The sequence below is a fragment of the Homo sapiens genome, chromosome 1, assembly GCF_000001405.40.
Source record: "Homo sapiens chromosome 1, GRCh38.p14 Primary Assembly".
Lineage (NCBI taxonomy): Eukaryota > Metazoa > Chordata > Mammalia > Primates > Hominidae > Homo > Homo sapiens.
The window spans coordinates 100,479,691-100,497,554 of record NC_000001.11 but is presented as its reverse complement, the minus strand read 5'-3'; the positions used below and the strand labels follow the sequence as shown (position 1 = coordinate 100,497,554).

Below are 17,864 nucleotides of genomic sequence, written 5' to 3'. Positions count from 1 at the left end.
TTAATCTTATTCCTAAACAATTCAAATTGTGAATAGCCTTCAGTGAATCATGTCACTTCACTGTTTAAATCATTTCATCTTTCCTCTGTGCCCACAAGCCTATAGAAACTCTTTGGCTTGGCATATGCAGCCCCTCCAAAATCTGGACAGGTCCTTCTTTCCACACTTTCCCATTGGACATCTCTATTCCAGCTACATAAGAATGCCTTGAGTTCCCTGAATGGGTAGCGTCCACACGTTTGTCCAGTTTGCACAGACTATTTCCCTGCCATGGCATTTTCTCATCTCCTTCCCATCCTCTACCTCTTATCTTCCATGTCCATTTGACCCACTTCTATCACACTTAGCCTTTAATGGTCCAATCAGCTGTTACCTCATCAAGCAAGCCTTCTCTGAGTTCCCAAGCAATATATGTTTCATCATATATTCTCATAGTAAATCATAGCTCTTATACCATATTGCGTCATCTGATATTTGTCTATCTCCGTTACCTGATGTAAGCTCCTTGAGGGCAAAGACTTCTCTCTCATTTCAATTCCCAGTGGCTAGCACAATGCTGGATTCTGAGCAGGTGCTCAATAAATATTTGCCAAGTGGACAAAAAGGAAAAACTGACTCAAATCTGGAGAGCCAGGGCCCAGTCATAATCTTAATACCAAATCTGTTTGATCCTAGATAAATCATTTAATATAGCTGAACTCTGTTTTCCTCTCTGCTAGAGAAAAGCTTATTTACTTGTAGACTCTTTCCTTCATTATCCACCCACCAAACAGCAGCTTAAGCTCATGTTTTGCCTCCAAAATAAAAATGGAAAAAGTTCTACAAAGAAGCAATTCAAGCTTCTCCAGAAGCTCCAGATGCTTAAGCCCTCTTTGAACTGCCCTCACTAAACAGTCCTAAACCTAAGAATGAATAAGAACCAGCAGGTGAAGAGCTTCTTTCCCCTATTTCATCAACACTCTTGGCCAAACATCTCTGCTGCTCTCACTGAGTGCCACACCAGATCGTGGTACCACTCCCGGAGGTTTCAGGGGACATTTTTCCACAGAACAAAACTAGTGTTTCCTCTTGAAAAGGAAGGTAGAGAAGAAAATAAGACTAGAAAATAAAGGAGGGGAACAAATGCATGCTGATTGGGAAAAAATAGAAAGAGGACCAATAAAAATGAAAACAATTTAAGCTAGATCTATCACTAGATCAAAAGGAGAAATGCAGAGCACCTGTAGTTTCTTAGAGACCCCCCTCCACAATGTGCTAAGAGCACAAAATACATTGATGTCTCTACCACCACCACACAGTCCTGTGGGCATGCCAGCAAAAAAAAAAAAAAATCCTTTTCATGGTGAGCATTAAAAATAAGGCATAAACAATATGGAAGAGAAAGGAAGCAATTTAAAAAGCAAAAAGCTGTGTACAGTTGATTTTCGTGTTTGAGGCTTGGGAAACATGGCTAAAAGGAAGCATATATTTACAAGCTACTAGACATTCAACCTCATTGGCAGTACCTGAAAGGCTGGGACACTGCTCTTGGATGTCCTTTTGTATCATCTGACCTGCGGAAATCAAAGACAGATGCTCACATATCACCAGGGCACACGTTTTCACAAAGACCACAAGGCACATCAAATGGTATCAAACCAGTAAAAATATTAAATTAGCAAAAGGGAGAAACCTTGCAAATGGATATTAGATTACCCAGAACCAGGCTTGCTATCCCCTTTTCTCATAATACTGCAGAAAATGATAACCTCATCTTTGAGCAATATGAACCTTTATTCCTTAGATCAGGAACTCAGTAAAGACCCAATCTGACTACAGTGTTATAGTTTCTCCCAGATTACACATGAAAACTAAATTCCCTGTGAATCTGTTTGGTGTTTACCATACCGGCAAAACATCCTTCTGCTATGTGTATCTCTTATTTATAAGTCAAAAAAATGTTGCTGCTTACCATTATATTAATTTGTGGACTGGGGCCTTGCCACCCAGTATATTGTAATTTTAAAAAATGATGATATTTACAAACGTTTGCACCTTTTGATTCCCCTTTTTTTAAACCCAATCTGAGCTATCAGCAGGTTTCAAATGTGATCAGAAGTCAAGTCCCATCATTGATTCTGGTGAGTAGTTTGAGACTTCAAAGTCAAGATGGCTTATAACTTTACAGGCACAGGTAAGAATTGCTTATTCAATTTTCAAAAATAGAAGGTAAAGCTGAGGAACTAGCTTAGATTGCCAGAGACTGGCATACAATACTTTTATATACACTATGAGTCAATACAACAGCCTCAGCACACCTGTGAGGATCCAACACAGGACAAGAAACTCATTCACAGCAGAAGGGGAGAAATCCAAACAGAATTTGAAACAGAGTCCCAGAGATAACTGCTTTGCAGCTTAAGGTAGAATTCCAGAGACTGAGATGGCAGCAGTTGCTTTCAATAAACTTCTAAACTTTAGCTACTCCCAACAGTGATAAAATAATCAATAAACAACACAAAATAGTAAACTTAGTATTTGTAGAACAAAATTCAAAACAGAAGATTACAGATTAAAGAGAAGATGAAATGTTCTATTCACAAAGGGAAGCACACTATAAATTGAAGTGTTTAAAACAGATCTACCTAAATGCACAGGATGGTGAGGTACGTGGCTGTCTCTGACTTTTTAAGGCACGTAGTTTGTCTCCCTGGGTTATACCATTTTTCATTTCCACATCATCATCTTCTAAGTTATCCTGGAAAAAAATACACGTTCCATAGAAAGGTCAAAATTTGGCTTTATATAGGTTTCTTAACAGACTACATATATAGATACATTTTATACAGATTATCTTAATATAGATTAAGTCACTAAAGGTACTGTGAATCAGCATTGTCAAAGTTTACACAAAAGAACACTCAACTATTTGCCAGTTCAACAGGCAACAAGTCAAATTCCAAATCAATGAAGCATGGGAATAGATGTGGTAGAATATACAAGGAGCTGTTTGTTACACTGGACAGCAACAGAGGAGACTCTCCTGCAGACACAATCATACGTTGGAATATAGCCTAGATACAGAAGGGCCCACAGATGCAGTACAAATATGTTTTTAGATACTACCAGGACCCATCACTGCAAATTCCATAACCTGTTTACAAAAATACAAGATAAAAATACTTTAGGATATCTATACAGTAAGTTATTAACACAGTAATCATGTAACACTAGTAAAAGCACACAAGCCCTTTTCAGAAGGATTTAAAGGACCATGTTCACTAGATCTTTCCTTCTGAAATAACTCTTTAAAGTTTGAAAAATAGAAGTACCATGCTAGTCTCTTCAAATGCTAGTCTCTTCAATAGCCCTGATGCAGGGGGAGGCACTGGTACCCTTATTATCGATGAAAAAAGGACATACTCATGGAAGTTAGGAATATTGCCCAAGCTCCCATAAGCTCTTAATGACCTTTGTGTGACTTCAAAATTAGATTTATTGTCCCAAGATGCAATGTTCTTTCTAAAATATATGCCATAGCACACTGTCATTGCACCAGTGAAGACTGTATTTTGCCTTTTTTCCTCAACTGAAAAATCAAAGTGCTTGGATTTGCTAAAATCCCTCCCAGCCGTAATAGTCCCCTCCCCTATTTAAAACTAGAACTCTTGTTTGATGAAAAATGTACTTCCATCAAGTCACATTTGAGTCATTTCTCATCGCAATACCTCCTCAATCCCGGCCACCTATGTTGGGTTCCACAGTAAAAAGATCAAACCTCACCATCACATCTCTGAGTTTAAAAAAGAAATAAAGAAATGCAAAGCACAAGGCCAGTGGGAAAGAAAGAATAAGGACAAAAGCTTCCTAGAGGCAATCCCTTAAAGAATGGGTGCAAGTGACGCAGCCCAAGATCCCAGGAAAGGTCGTCCTGTGCAAGAATACCAGCTCAACAGTCACAGGATCATGGAGTCTTCATGACAGAGGATTCTCTTAGAGTCTCAAGTTGCACTTCTAAAAAATCTCCAGAAATCAGTTTTACCATTCAGTTCTATCCATACAACCCCAATGGGGGAGGAACTTATTACCATCAAAGGAAGCCTGCAAGAACAGAAATCAGGAAGGTCTGACAGCTAGGCTTGCCAGTGGGATGGTGCACCTGAGAAGGTGAGCTTAGCTTCACTAGGCTGCAGTAAGCACTCAACGTGCTGGGATGTTAGCAGTTACTTAGCACAGAGCCAGAGTTTCCTGAATATGAGGTGAGGCCAAAAAACACATAGGTCCTCATGAGAATGGCTAAGAAAGCTTCTAGGAGGACCTGACAGAATCCTTGCCACAATCAGTTTCATTGTCAACTGGGTGCTTTTGTACCAGGAAAGCTTATTTGTTCCTCCAACTAGGAGGATCTTTATGTTTCCCACTAGAAACACCTTCAAAATTCTAAATATAAAATGATTCTCAACCTGTAATTCTAAAATTCAACCTTTCAGGTAAGTATAAAGGTAAAACAGATATAAAAATTTACCTCCCATACAATCTTTCTGAGAAAACTATTACAGGATATGCTCTTCAGGAAAAAAGGAAAGATAACATGAGATCCAAGAAAATTAGGGATCTAACTGAAGAATATGAAGAAGAGTTATAGAATCAGGCTATATAGTTCTGATCCTAGGACTTCACACACACACACATACCCACACACACACACACATACACACACACACACACACACACAGCAGGGCTAAGAACAACCAGTCCAAGTTAGAAGGGAGAAATGTCTTCAGGAAAAGAATGGAATTAGAATGGAATTTTGCTGTGTTGAAATTTTGAAAAAATTTAAAATTGTTTGGCACAACTTTTTAAAGCATTATCTTTTCCTAAATGCATAGAAAACTATGCAAATTTAAAAAGGCAATTAAGTCTAGGACACACAAAGAGAGCGTCAAAAAAGAAAACAGTCATAGTGTACTACTAAGCTCAACCGTGAACAATGTTTACATAGTAATAATGTGCACATTATTTGATTTAACGAATATAGTTATATTGGGAAGTGGTGGTGACAGTGAGCTAGAAGAGCTGCATCCTGTCTACAACAACCAGGAGGCAATACAAAAATGTCCAAAATTGATCAATTAAAAAACAGCAACATAAGCAAAGTATTTATAATAGAAATATGGCACTAAAAATAATAGTATAATTTTCCTAGAGGTTTCCCCCTTTGGAAGTGGGTCCAGAGATACAGAAAGGTGAGAAAGGAGACTGATATTTTTTGTTGCTAGAATTCAACGCTTGTTGATATTTTTTAAGCTGTGATCATATATTGCTTGAAAAGAATAAAAGCATTTTAAAAGATATACAGTTAAACAGAAAATTAAATAACAGTACATTTTAAATTATAATTACTTTGCATGTATTTTTCTCTCATTCTATTGTGAATCTTAAAGGTCAAATATTTCTGTAAATTATGATACATCTCAAAATCAGAAAAGAACAAAAATACTACAATACACAGCCATGCACTTAACTACCCAGATTTAACATACTTTTACTTCCTCCCCTCAAGTTTACTTAAACACCCTCACAGGAGCCACCGCATTGTCTGTGATGAGCCTCGCGGGCCACTGTTCTTCCCCAGCTCCTCTCGGGTGGCTGCGGTGGTGACGACCACGAGGGCAGAGGTGTTTTTTCTCAAAAAAAGGTATCTGGCTAGGCACGGTGGCTCACACCTGTAATCCCAGCACTTTGGGAGGCCAAGGCAGGTGGATGACATGAGGCCAGGAGTTCAAGACCAACCTGGCCCACATGGTGAAACCCCATCTCTACTAAAAATATAAAAATTAGCTGAATGTGGTGGTGCGTGCCTGTAATCCCAGCTACTTGGCAGACTGAGGCACAAGAATCACTTGAACCCGGGAGGCAGAGGTTGCAGTGAGCCTAGATCGCACCACTGCACTCCAGCTTGGGCCATAGAGACTGTCTCAAAAAAAAAAAAAAAAAAAAAAATATATATATATATATATATATATAGAGAGAGAGAGAGAGAGAGAGAGAGAGAGATGCAGATATATTTATGATATATTTTTATGTATTTAAATATATATGCATTTACCATATATATGGAGATATGTTTACCATATGTTTGTCATTAGTAATAAAGTATAGGTAAACAGGAAAAAATATTAAAACCACCTATATATTTACCATCAAAAGCAACACACATTAACATTCTGGCACATAGTCTTCCAGAATTTTCCCTGTGCTATATAAAACCCCCAACCTACTTCTTCCTTACAAAAAGAGGTTGTATTATATACATATGCTGCTTTGTAACTTTTTTAACTTAAAAAACATATAGTGGAAGTTTTTCAGGGCAAATTTTTTTAAATCTCTGTCGTTTTATGGCTCCATAAAATTCCATTGTCTAGATATGCCTAATTTTATTATTTAACCGATAGCCTAGGTTAGGCTGTTCTCTGTCTTTCATCACTATAAACAGCCTCAACAAACATACTCTTATATATACATGGTTTATGAAGACTTATTATTGCCTTAAGACAAATTCATAGAAGTGGAATTCCTTTTAAAGTCATCTTCCACATATGATCAAATTGCCCTCCAAAAGGCTGTACCATTGTAAATTCCAACTAGCAATGTTTAAGAGCTTTGTATTCCCTAAACGTTTGTCAATACTGCATACATTTTTAATACATTTGATAGGCATAAATAGCATCTCATCATTTAAATTTGTGTCTCTTCCATTTCTAGGGAAGTAGAATTTTTTTATGTTTACCAGCCAGGAGGGTTCCCATATTGTTTTATTTGTGCACATAGTATTTTGGTGATTTGTAAGAGTTCTTTACACCCACACGACCCCCCTCATTTGCATATATTGCATATATTTCCTCCCATTGATCACTGTGAGAATGAATTGGAGGTCAAGACTCGGGGGAGGGACACATTTAAGCGGCTATACAGTGGTCTGATGAGAGATGATGGACTGGATTAGGGTACGGGAAACCACATGGGAGTTCAGACTTGGGGAGAGGGAAGAAGGAGGAAAGATCCAGACAGGCAATATAGGTCTGAAAAAATCTACTAAAATGTAAACCGTACTATTTTTGTCTAAACTAATCTTCTTTTATTTTTTCTCTGTGGCCATTGTACAAAGTGTGGGCATTTTTAGGACTATGAGAGATAGAACATATAAACTATAAAATTCTCAGTGATTAATAAATAGCCTTCAAACTCAAGAAAAATAGTAACATTATTCAAAACATATTTACATTAAATTACAGAATTAAGAAACTAAAAAGCTATATGGAAAAGGACTTTGGCCTCCTGGAATACTGAATAAGACACACAGACATAAATATAATAAGCCTTATATTTATTAGGGGATTGATCCGATAAGATGTACCAGGTCATAAGAGCCTGTGGGAGGAAAATGTTTATTAGCAAATGCAGATATTGTGTGGCACAAATCAATCTCATGAGTTGGTAGCCAGGGGAGTGTTTGAAGACTTTTCTCATCAGGTGCTGTTAGGCCTCCTTCCTTATACCAGATTCATTCTTCATGATGACTAAAGAACACATTCACAAATGACAAATGAGGAGAACCCAACCTGGGCCTCCATTCTGCCCTTAGGCTCCAGCCCATCTCCCTACAAAATGCCAGAGCAGACTCTCTCTTGTCCTAAGCTAGTCCAGGAGAGGCAGATTCCCTGGAATCTGCTGAAAAGAAACAAAACCACTTGGCTGATGCTGGCAACAATGAAGAACCCTACCTAGTCCAGGGAAGACCCTCCTATCTTTGTCCCCCACAGGAAAGGGGTCTGCTCTCAGATGCCCCACTGCCCTTTGGAGGATTAAGCAGCAACTCTCTTCCTTTTGGATACTGGGCTGCCCTACATGAAGGCAAGAAAATGATATTTTAGTAATATCATTTAGTAAACTAAAATATTGTACCAAAAGAAGTACAATTAAAAAAAAAAAACATGAGTGATGACCTAGTGAAAGAACAAACAACAACATGAAGAATAAATATTTTATTCCACCAGTTGTTTTCTCTATGCACAATCGTGTCCACAGATTTCAGCTAGATAAAGTAATTGCTGACCAAAACCTAAACAAAATCGTGGCACAGTAAGCTATAGGAAAGGCTGTGGAAAGTCTCATTAAGAAAAGATCTATGAGATAGAATATAGCACACTAGGGAATAAAGATGGAAGAGTCCTAATAGAAAAATGACATAAATAGACAGTTTAAATAGAAATGAGTAAAAATAGAAGTCCAAGAACTGGAAGATAAAGATGAGAATGGAATTTTTAGCAGATTTTAATAAATTGGCTAGGAAAGGTGGCTGGGTCATCTCTAGAGTTCTTTTCAGCTCTCAGATGTTGAACCTATGAGATGTAAGTGCTGGGGAAAGGCAAAGATGTCATCTTTATAATAAGCTGCTTCTGATCAATAAAAAGTTTGAATTTATCAGAGCTGCCCACATCTCTCTTCTGGCTGCCCCATTCACTGCCACTGGTTGGGACCTTTAAAACCTGGACCTCCCCATCACCAACTCCCTGGCCTTCCACCCTCAGCCCTATATGACACCATAGCCAGAGTGATCTCTCAGCACCATGATTCTGTGTGCTGTCACTCCCCTGCTTAATAACCTCTGGTGGATCCCAATGGCATTCAGATTAGAACTGGTCTTCACTGTCATAATGGGGGAAAGAAAGGTGCTTAAAAAGCAGGACATTAGAGATTTAATTTTTACTTCATAGATTTTTCTAAGATGTACCCTGCTTATGAGTACTTGATGGATTTTATAAATCACAATGTCTCAAAGATGTAATTAAAACACTACATTCTTGTCTACTTGATTGTCAATTTGTATGAACTTGGCTGAATATTAGCAGCACCTGTATCTAATTAATATCACTAAGTCAAGAGCATCTACTGATTGGTATGCTAATATTGGACTATAGCCCTAGAGTAGAAAGACAAAATGTAAAAACCGTTGTAATTCCAGAAGAAGTTTATTAGTAGGGAATGGTTACAGTTTTGCTCAAAATTACTGTACATAATTTACTAAAGCCACAATGAAGACCTCATAGAGAGTTAGCAGAGTATAGTGAGAGGCCTCCCGGGAGGGTGGCTGAGGGCACAAACTTTGGAGCCAGAGCACAGAAGTTCAAATGACCACCTCACCATGTACCCAAGATCTTGGCCAGATGGTTTGACCTCTACCTCAGGTATGTCTCCTGTAAATGGGCCTAGTAACAGTGCCTATTTCATATGGCTACTGTAAGGATTAATAGAGTTCATTAATGTCAAGTGCCTAAAACAGTTACTGGCATACAGTAACTTCATGCTAAGATCCTGATTTAATATTTGCACTTTAAATAAAGTACTTTAAATTCTATCTTTTAAGATAACTCCAAGCCATAATGGACCCATAGGCCCCTAAATGTTAAAGTGAGCACTTATTGCTAGTACTATTTTGTATTTGAGCACATAATGCACTTGTGTAGCTTAGATTATTACCAATTTCATGTCTCTGTCCTTTTTTTTTCTCTGAAACTATAAGCCTTCTTCATCCATTCACATAATACTTATTAAGGCCTTTTGCCAAAAACAGAATCATGATGAAGACAAATAAAAGTCTCTGCCTTCCTAGAGAGTATCACCGAGCAGGGAAGGAGGCATGAGGACTGTGGGGGAAAAGTATAGTGCAAGGCAGGAGCAGGGAGCAGGGAGCCTAACCTAGACCCACAGGATGGGCTGTGTATATTTCATAGTGCCCAGCCCAGCACTGAAGTCCAGGCTCAATAAAGGTGAAGCCTCTATTTTATTTCTCATAACTCTAAGTTGGCAAAGAACATTCAGTAAAACCACAACTTAGTCCATCACTATGACCTGCAACATTCTGGTTGTTTTCCTTTCACCTACATCCTAAGCACTAAAAAACTGTATTTTTGTTTTTTGTTTTGTTTTGTTTTGTTTTGTTCTGTTTTGTTTTTGAGACCGAGTCTCACTCTGTTGCCCAGGCTGGAGTGCAGTGGCATGATCTCAGCTCTGCAACCTCCGCCTCTCGGGTTCAAGTGATTCTCATGCCTCAGCCTCCCAAGAAGCTGGGACTACAGGCATGTGCCATCACACCTGGCTAATTTTTTCTCTATTTTTAGTAGAGATGGGGTTTCGTTATGCTGGCCAGCCTGGTCTCAAACTCCTGACCTCAAGTGATCCATCTGCCTCAGCCTCCCAGAGTGCCAGGATTACAGGCGTAAGCCACCATGCCCGGCCTAAAAAACTCTATTCGAATTCTCCAAATCTGGTAATACAGAGCTTCCTAGTAACTAATCACAAGAAAATTACTGTAGGCCTAGAAAGAAAATAATAATTTAGAATCTCTGCTTTTAATCTTTTTTTTAAAAGTCAATCTCAAGAGGAATACTGCCTTTTTGCACTTTCTATATATACAAACTAAGTAAATCCAGAAATTCCATAGACTTTTACCCACATGCAACTTGAAACACATTAAATTCTTACAGCATTCTCAATCTATTTTCCCATGTGCAATTTATAAGAATAATAAAGACATCATTAACTCTGTTAAGACCAATTTTGAGTAAGCGAATTTTCCATATTCATGTGATATTCCAGAGCTGGCACCAGATAAGCATGGAAAGAAAAGTGCTTGTAAGAGTTACTTGCACAAAGCCATTAACTAGCTAATAAAGTAGTCCTAGGGCCCATACATGATGCTGTGTAAAATATTCACCATACCATCATTCTCTGGCATCTCTGAATTCTTTCATTTCTGCTCTTGAATTTCAGAAACAATAGCATTTCAATGGCTAAAACTAAAATAATGATGGGGGATGCTATGGTCTGAATATTTGTAGCCCCCAAAATTCATATGTTGAAATCCCAACCCCACAAGGTGATGGCATTAAGAGTTTGTTTGCCCTTTTTGCCATGTGAAGATGCAGAAGGTGCTGTCTATGAACCACTAGGCAGGCCCTCACCAGACACCAAATCTGTTGATGCCTTGATCTTGAATTTCCCAACCTGCAGAACCGTGAGAAATAAATTTCTGTTGTTTATAAGCTGCCTAGCCTGTAGTGTTTTGTTACAGCAGCCCAAATGGACTAAGACGGGGGAGTAGACTTATATACACTTATATTTAAAACTGTCTTATTTAAAATTCCAATCATATTGCATTCCTTACCCTCACAGTGATACATAAATGTTAAGTTTCTTAAATTCAACAAATTGGGGATTAAAAGAGTATGAGAATAAAACGTTCTAACTACCAGATGTTAACTTAATCAAGATTATGATATAGAAAGTACTATGTTCCTGCAAGGTAAATATGTTTCTCAGATAACGGGATTAACTTTATGTTTGTCTTTTCAGAGTTCATAACTCAAAGCCCTATTTACTTGTACTCAACCTGGGGAGGAAATGCTGACTAGAGCAAGAAAAAGGTATTCTTGCTTAGCTATATTATCATGTTAAAATCTTAGTTCAGACCCTTTCTTTTTATTTGCTCTTAATAGGTGAAACTGGAACACAGAGACAAAGAAAAGTCAACAAAGGCTCTAACATCAACATGACCTTGGATAAGGTGTACATTTCATCAGGACAGATGACTCGAATGGGTAAACTTAGTCACCTCATCAGCAGCCATCCTGGAGAACAGAGCACTGGGCTTAAAAATCATTTCTTCCAACGGTCTCCATCCTTTGTCCCTGAAAGAAAATTCATGCTCCCAATCTCCAAGCACTCTGGCTATCTTTCTTGCTAAAAAGAAATCTGTTTGGGATGCCAGTCATTAACCTAAGAGAGCTATGATGTGTTCCTTCCATTCTGGGCTCCTTGTGGGCTAAGCTTGAGCCACAGTATTTGGTTTAAGGCCCTTGTCCGGGTCTAATGGGTCACTGTCTAATAGAATGTAAATCTACACTTGTTGCTTCTATATTCTTTCTTTCTCTTTTTTTCTTTTTTACTTTTTTAGACGGGTGCTTGCTCTGTCGCCCAGGATAGAGTGCAGTGACGCCATCATAGCTCACTACAGCTTCGACCACTGGGCTCAAACATCCTCCCACCTCAGTCTCCCAAGTAACTGGGACCACACAGGCACACATCACGCTGCCTAGCTTGTTCCACTATTTTGAACAGGTCCTTTTTTTCTTTTCTTTTTTTCTCCTTTAGAGATATAAAAGTATAAACCAGATACTTAGCTTCACCTCAGGTATAACGTGGTAGAAAGACCTAAACTAGGAATTGAATGCCCAGTTGTCAAAGTGGCCCCACTACTAAACAACCCTGGAACTTTACACAAATCACAAATTTTCTGGGACCCCAGTTTCTTGTCTCTACAATAGTGGAACCAAACAAATGGTGTTTCAACGTTGTTTCTAGTTCCAAAAATGCTCATAATCCTAATTCTTAGTAAATCACTTCTATTTTTATTCAGAGGTAACAGGGTGTGATATAAAAAAACACAAGCTTGGACTCAGACAGACATGGATTGAACCATGTTTGACACTGAGGTTAGAACATCTCTGATATGCAATTTCCTTCCTATAAAATAGAGATAGTATTACCTAACTCACCAGGTAGTTATGAATATTAATCAGACAATATATATCAACTATTTACCGTGGTTTGTTTACAGTAGAGCCTTAATTTTTTTTTAAAAAAGTGCCCTAATCATGTTTTCAAGTTGGCACTTACTTTAGAAATCAGCATGAATTTGAGGCTTTCAAAGCACCACTTGTGGTATGTATTATTTCCTCAATTGTCACATTAAAATTTTTCTTCTTGATATTTATTTTAATTTTCAAATAGAAAGTTTGCTTTTCTGTTTCCTTTCTATAAATATTACCCCTTACCAGAGTAGCCTCCTTTATAATTTACTCCTTAAATTATAGCTTTTTTTTTTTTAAGGGCAATTGGTTTCTTTCCTCTGCTTCTTGCTATATAGACGGATGGCTCTACTTCTAAAAACTTGGTACTCGTGGCATCCAGAGAAAAGACACTGCTATGTTATATAGGTCCAACTGAGAAACAAATGCAGAACATCAGTTTTAAGAAGATAGAATCTCCTAGGGAAAACTTACCTCTCCAAATCGTTCCATGTTTTGTGTTTTTGAAAGATTTCCACCAATAGACATATCATCTAGGCCAGAAAGAATTTTATTAATACTTCCTTCACTGGATGGTCGATTTTTCAGTTTGGATCGGAAAATGTCTCCTTGGACCCACAACGATGCTTGTTTTCTGTATAAAAAACAAAACAAAACAAAACGACAAGAAAAAGTTATCTTTAAAACAATCTACTCTCATCTCAAAGGTATGATGTCTTATAAAGGAAAAGATTTAGCAAATAAGCATTTACAAATCAGACTAGAAAGATTATGATATCTTAGAATAAAGAACAATGAAGTCACTTTCAAAAAGCCAAAATAAGATTCTATATTAAACACAAATGTCATCCTCCAATATTTGTCTATATAGTTGACTGCTGAAGTCCTCAGATGCTTAGAACAAATTCCACAGCAATAAAGATTATGAGCCCATTTGTCTTTTAAATATAAATTTGAAACCTTCAATTTCTCAAATAGCAATTTGATATGCCTATTTATAAAAACAGAGAGAATAACTGGACTCAAAACTGTACATGAAAGAACTTGAGTTAAATGGAGATATTACCCAAAAAAGTATTGCATACCTACTTTTGGGTGGTACCATGAAAGGCCCTCACACATAACTTTAAAAACCTACTCTTAGAATCTAAAAGCAAGGCTTATATCCTCAATTAGATTGTCCTTAGAAAAGAAAATGTGTTTGAAGTTCATGTATAAACTTTCTTTCATTCATTAAGGCAAAATCACAACTGTTTTCAAAGTTATATGAAGATAATTTAAAATATGTAAGCAAAATGACATTCTGAGGATTTTATTTTTATTGGTGGGATCACCTTCATACATTTCCTATAAGATAAACTATTCCATAAAATCACTTTATTTCTATCCTATAACACACTGTACAGAATAGAATTAAACTAAAAACACTGTGGTTCGTCATAAAAAATATCAACATCTAGTGAAATAATTGCATCATCAAGGAGACGCCACCAGTAAGAACATAGATATTTTTTAAAGCAACAGGATTGAGTAATACTTTCTCACAAAGATTTCACATATCACATAAAATTCAGGTTAAAACGCTGATCATTAGAGAAATGCAAATCAAAACCATAATGAGATACCACCACACACCAGTAAGAATGGCTATTATCAAAAAGTTAAAAAATAACAGATGCTGGTGAAGTTGCAGAGAGAAAGGAACACTTATACACTGTTGGTGGGAGTGTAAATTAGTTCAACCATTGTGGAAAGCAGTGTGGCAATTCCTCAAAGAGTGAGACACAGAATTACCATTCGTCCCAGCAATCCCATTACTGAGTATATATCTTGAGGAATATAAATCATTCTACCATAAAGACACATACACGCAAATGTTCATGTAGCACTATTCACAATAGCAAAGACAAGGAATCAACCTAAATGTCATCAATGATAGATTGGATAGAGAAAATGTGGTACATATACACCATGGAATACTATGCAGCCATAAAAAAGAATAAGACCATGTCATTTATGGGAACACGGATGGAGCCTCCCAAGCCTGCACGTTGTGCACATGTACTCTAGAACTTAAAGTATAAAAAAATATATATATAGATATCTATATCTTTCGATATCTCTCTCTGTATATACATATATACACAGAGAGAGAGAGATAGGTTGAAAAGAATAAAAATCATGATTTTAAAAAAAGAGAAGATTCAGCTCTGTCATAAATAGTAAGAAATTCAGATAAATGAAACACACAGGTAGGACAGGATATAAGGATGAAAGACTGAATCCCTGTCTCTCAAGAAGGGATTTCTAGTTTAGGATGAGAAAAGCAAACAAATGAAGTCCGATATTATAAACCCTATGATCAGGATTTGCACAGGACCTCAGGAAAAGAGGCCCCTTACTCAATCTGATGGAATCAAAAAGAAGTTCCCCAACATTCCAGAAGTATCTGGAAAGATGAGCAGGACTTACCCAGCTAAGAGTATTGCCAAGCAAAGAAAACAATGTGGGCTGGAAAAATAGTGATATCAAAGAAAACAGCATGTTTATGAACATGAATTGTTTAATTTGGCTGAAGCAGAGGCTATGAGAGATGGGCCTTGCATGTCATCCTAAGGAATTTAAATTTGATACCAAAAATACAGGAAAGACCTTTTAAGAGTCTTTAGGAACAAAAAACAAAGTGAGAACAGAGGAGAAGGACATAAGAGGCTAGTTGAAAAAAATTCCAATTTCAAAAGAAGTTATAAAATGAAAATTCTGATGCTGCTGCCAACTTAAAGATGAAAATTACAAAGTGACAACTTTCACTTGCTTGGTTTGAAAGACGCAATCTGTCCCATCTCTGGAAAGGCTTGATTTGAACCTGAATATTAAAGATGAATAAGGTGTCAGAGCTGATTTGTGTGTTGCTAAGCAATGCTGTACGCAAGTGCTTCTTGAGAAAAAGCAGCACTTCACGCAAATTCCTTTTTATTGAAAATGCAAACCATGCTAGCTTTTATTGTGGTGTCTATTACTCCCTAAAAGCCTCATCTCAAACAAAAGAAGTAAAACATGTATTTTTAAGCATTTAGTATTTAAAAATCAAATCTTATGAAGCCAACACACCAGCTCAAAGTACATTCTCCAAGAATATAGTGCATTTTCTAAGACAGCATGAAATTTACTGACCCTCTGCTAAAAAGGGCATGTGCTTTAAAATGACAGGAAGAGATGTGTCTTGGTTTGAATAGAGCCTTAAGAAGTATAGCCAGTGCTGGGGTCCTTGTTTTCAGCCATGTCCTTGCCCTGGGTTAGTTGGGTTTAGGCTAGCCAGGCATGGGACATAAGAAAATAACGAAATAACTTGGCTTATTATGAGCCAAGTTACAGTTGATTCTGATCTAGAGCCTTCACAGGTCTTTTTTTACATCTGCTTTTAATATTCCTCTAATGAAATTCAAGTCAGTCACACTGTTATAGTGAATATTCCTAGTTCTGAGTCCAGAACACAATGGAAGCTGTTGTGCAGGCTTCTGTGTGTGGCTGACCTGTCCTCCTTCACTTCCCTAAGCCCAGCCCAATCCCATCTCCACACCAACCGAACTCTTTATCTTTATCCTTCTTCCATCCTGGACAATTTTCCCAAAAAACTCAACCCTGACCCCAAAGTCCATCCAAAGCCACTGTTTGGTCACTCCAAATAGAAACATAACCCACTCTCTAGCTTGGCCTAGGCCTACTCTAGCCATGACTTGAGTACCAATCTGTTTTGTGTACCTTCTATTCCACCAGCCCAGAGCTATTATGGAAACAGAGACAGTTCCTGGCCTAAAGAAGTGGGCTAACAAAATGGTCTACCTTGCTATCAAAGGAAGACAGATGGGAAGCAGTAACCAAGATGCAGGGGGCGGGAAGGCAACAGGTATTCAAGGAGTTCTTCAAATGCTGTGGTACAAGTGGAAGATTCACTAGGAAGATGTTTAGAGAATTTCTGAAAGCATAAGGGAAGGCAGTTAATTGTGAAACATACTAGAAAATGAAGCTAGAAGGAAAAAACTGAGGAAGGGAATTCTCCAAAAGATTCAACTAACTAAATCTAGTTTAGGTATAGAACCCTACAATCAGAAGCTAGATCATTGGAGTGTCATGCCAAAATGCAAACTTCATAACTAAGCCTAATATATCACTGCTTACTTTCTTACTGCTTACAATACCTTTTCCCCCATCTCTAACCTTTTTCATATAGTTTTATTCAGAGCACACAAAACAAAATAAACAAAAACCATTCATGGTAAGGATACAGAGAAACTGGACCCCTCGTGCATTGTTGGTGGGAATGAAAAATGGCACAGCTGTTGAGGAAAACAGTTTCACAGTTCCTCAGAAAGATAAACATAGAATTACCACATGATCCAGTAACTCCACTTTTAGGTATATACCCAAAATCATTGAAACTAGGGATTCAAATAGATACTTGTGTACCAATGTTCAGAACAGTTGCATTATTCACAATAACCAAAAGGTAGAAATAACTCAAACGTCCATCAACAAATGAATGGATAAATAAAATGGGATATATACATACAATGGAATATTATTGAGCCTCTAAAAGAAATTCTGATACATGTTACAACATGGATGAATGTTGCAAATATGCTAAGTAAAATAAGCCAGACACAAAACGACAAATATTGAATGATTCCATTTATATGAGGAATCTGGAACAGGCAAATTCATAATGTCAGAAAGTAGAATAGAGGTTTCCAGGGACTTGGGTAGGGGGTGGAGATAATGGTGATTTATTGTTCAATGGGTACAAAGTTTCTGTTTGGAATGATGAAACAGTCTGGAAATAGTGGTGATGGCTGCACAACATTGTGAACATATATAAAGTCACTGAATTATACATATAATAATGGTTAAAATTGTAAGGTTTATGTTATACATATTTTACCATAATAAAACATTAATTTAAAAAGTCAGTCTTCTATCTAGAGTAATAACTGGCATGAGTATTTAATAATAAATTTCTGATGCAACCACTGCCAAAGATTCTGATACATACTTAATTATCCTTAATACTTGAACCCATATTAGGATTTTATTTTTGCTTAGTCAGTAGTTCCAGTATCAACTGGCAGTCAACAAATGGATCAGATAATGCAGCAGTAACTGTTGAAAATCAGAAAATTCTATAATTGAGTGTTACTACAAAAATGTCATTTTCAGTAAATAGTGTAAACTCAAACC

The 17,864-nt window shown here is 37.3% G+C and overlaps 1 protein-coding gene across 6 annotated transcripts in view, besides 1 other annotated feature; it reads right to left on the bottom strand.

Annotated features, from left to right (window-relative positions):
• The window catches only part of CDC14A (cell division cycle 14A), a 175,277-nt gene that overhangs the window by 22,723 nt on the left and 134,690 nt on the right, over nucleotides 1-17,864 (bottom strand). For 5 of the 6 annotated variants that reach the window (NM_001319211.2, NM_001319210.2, NM_003672.4 and 2 more), the window contains 3 exons: nucleotides 13,104-13,263; nucleotides 2,625-2,737; nucleotides 1,506-1,553 (listed from right to left, as the gene is read on the bottom strand). In NM_001319211.2, the coding sequence (NP_001306140.1) occupies nucleotides 1,506-1,553; nucleotides 2,625-2,737; nucleotides 13,104-13,263 (321 nt within the window). Of the gene's footprint in view, nucleotides 1-1,505; nucleotides 1,554-2,624; nucleotides 2,738-12,184; nucleotides 13,264-17,864 lie in introns of those variants that run through there. The other variant, NM_033313.3, reaches the window with a different exon arrangement.
• Nucleotides 11,428-11,722: an enhancer, noted in NCBI's record as "tiled region #2368; HepG2 Activating DNase matched - State 5:Enh". NCBI's record gives its function as "activates a minimal TATA promoter and a strong SV40 promoter by Sharpr-MPRA in HepG2 cells {active_cell/tissue: HepG2}" and the evidence as "EXISTENCE:reporter gene assay evidence [ECO:0000049][PMID:27701403]".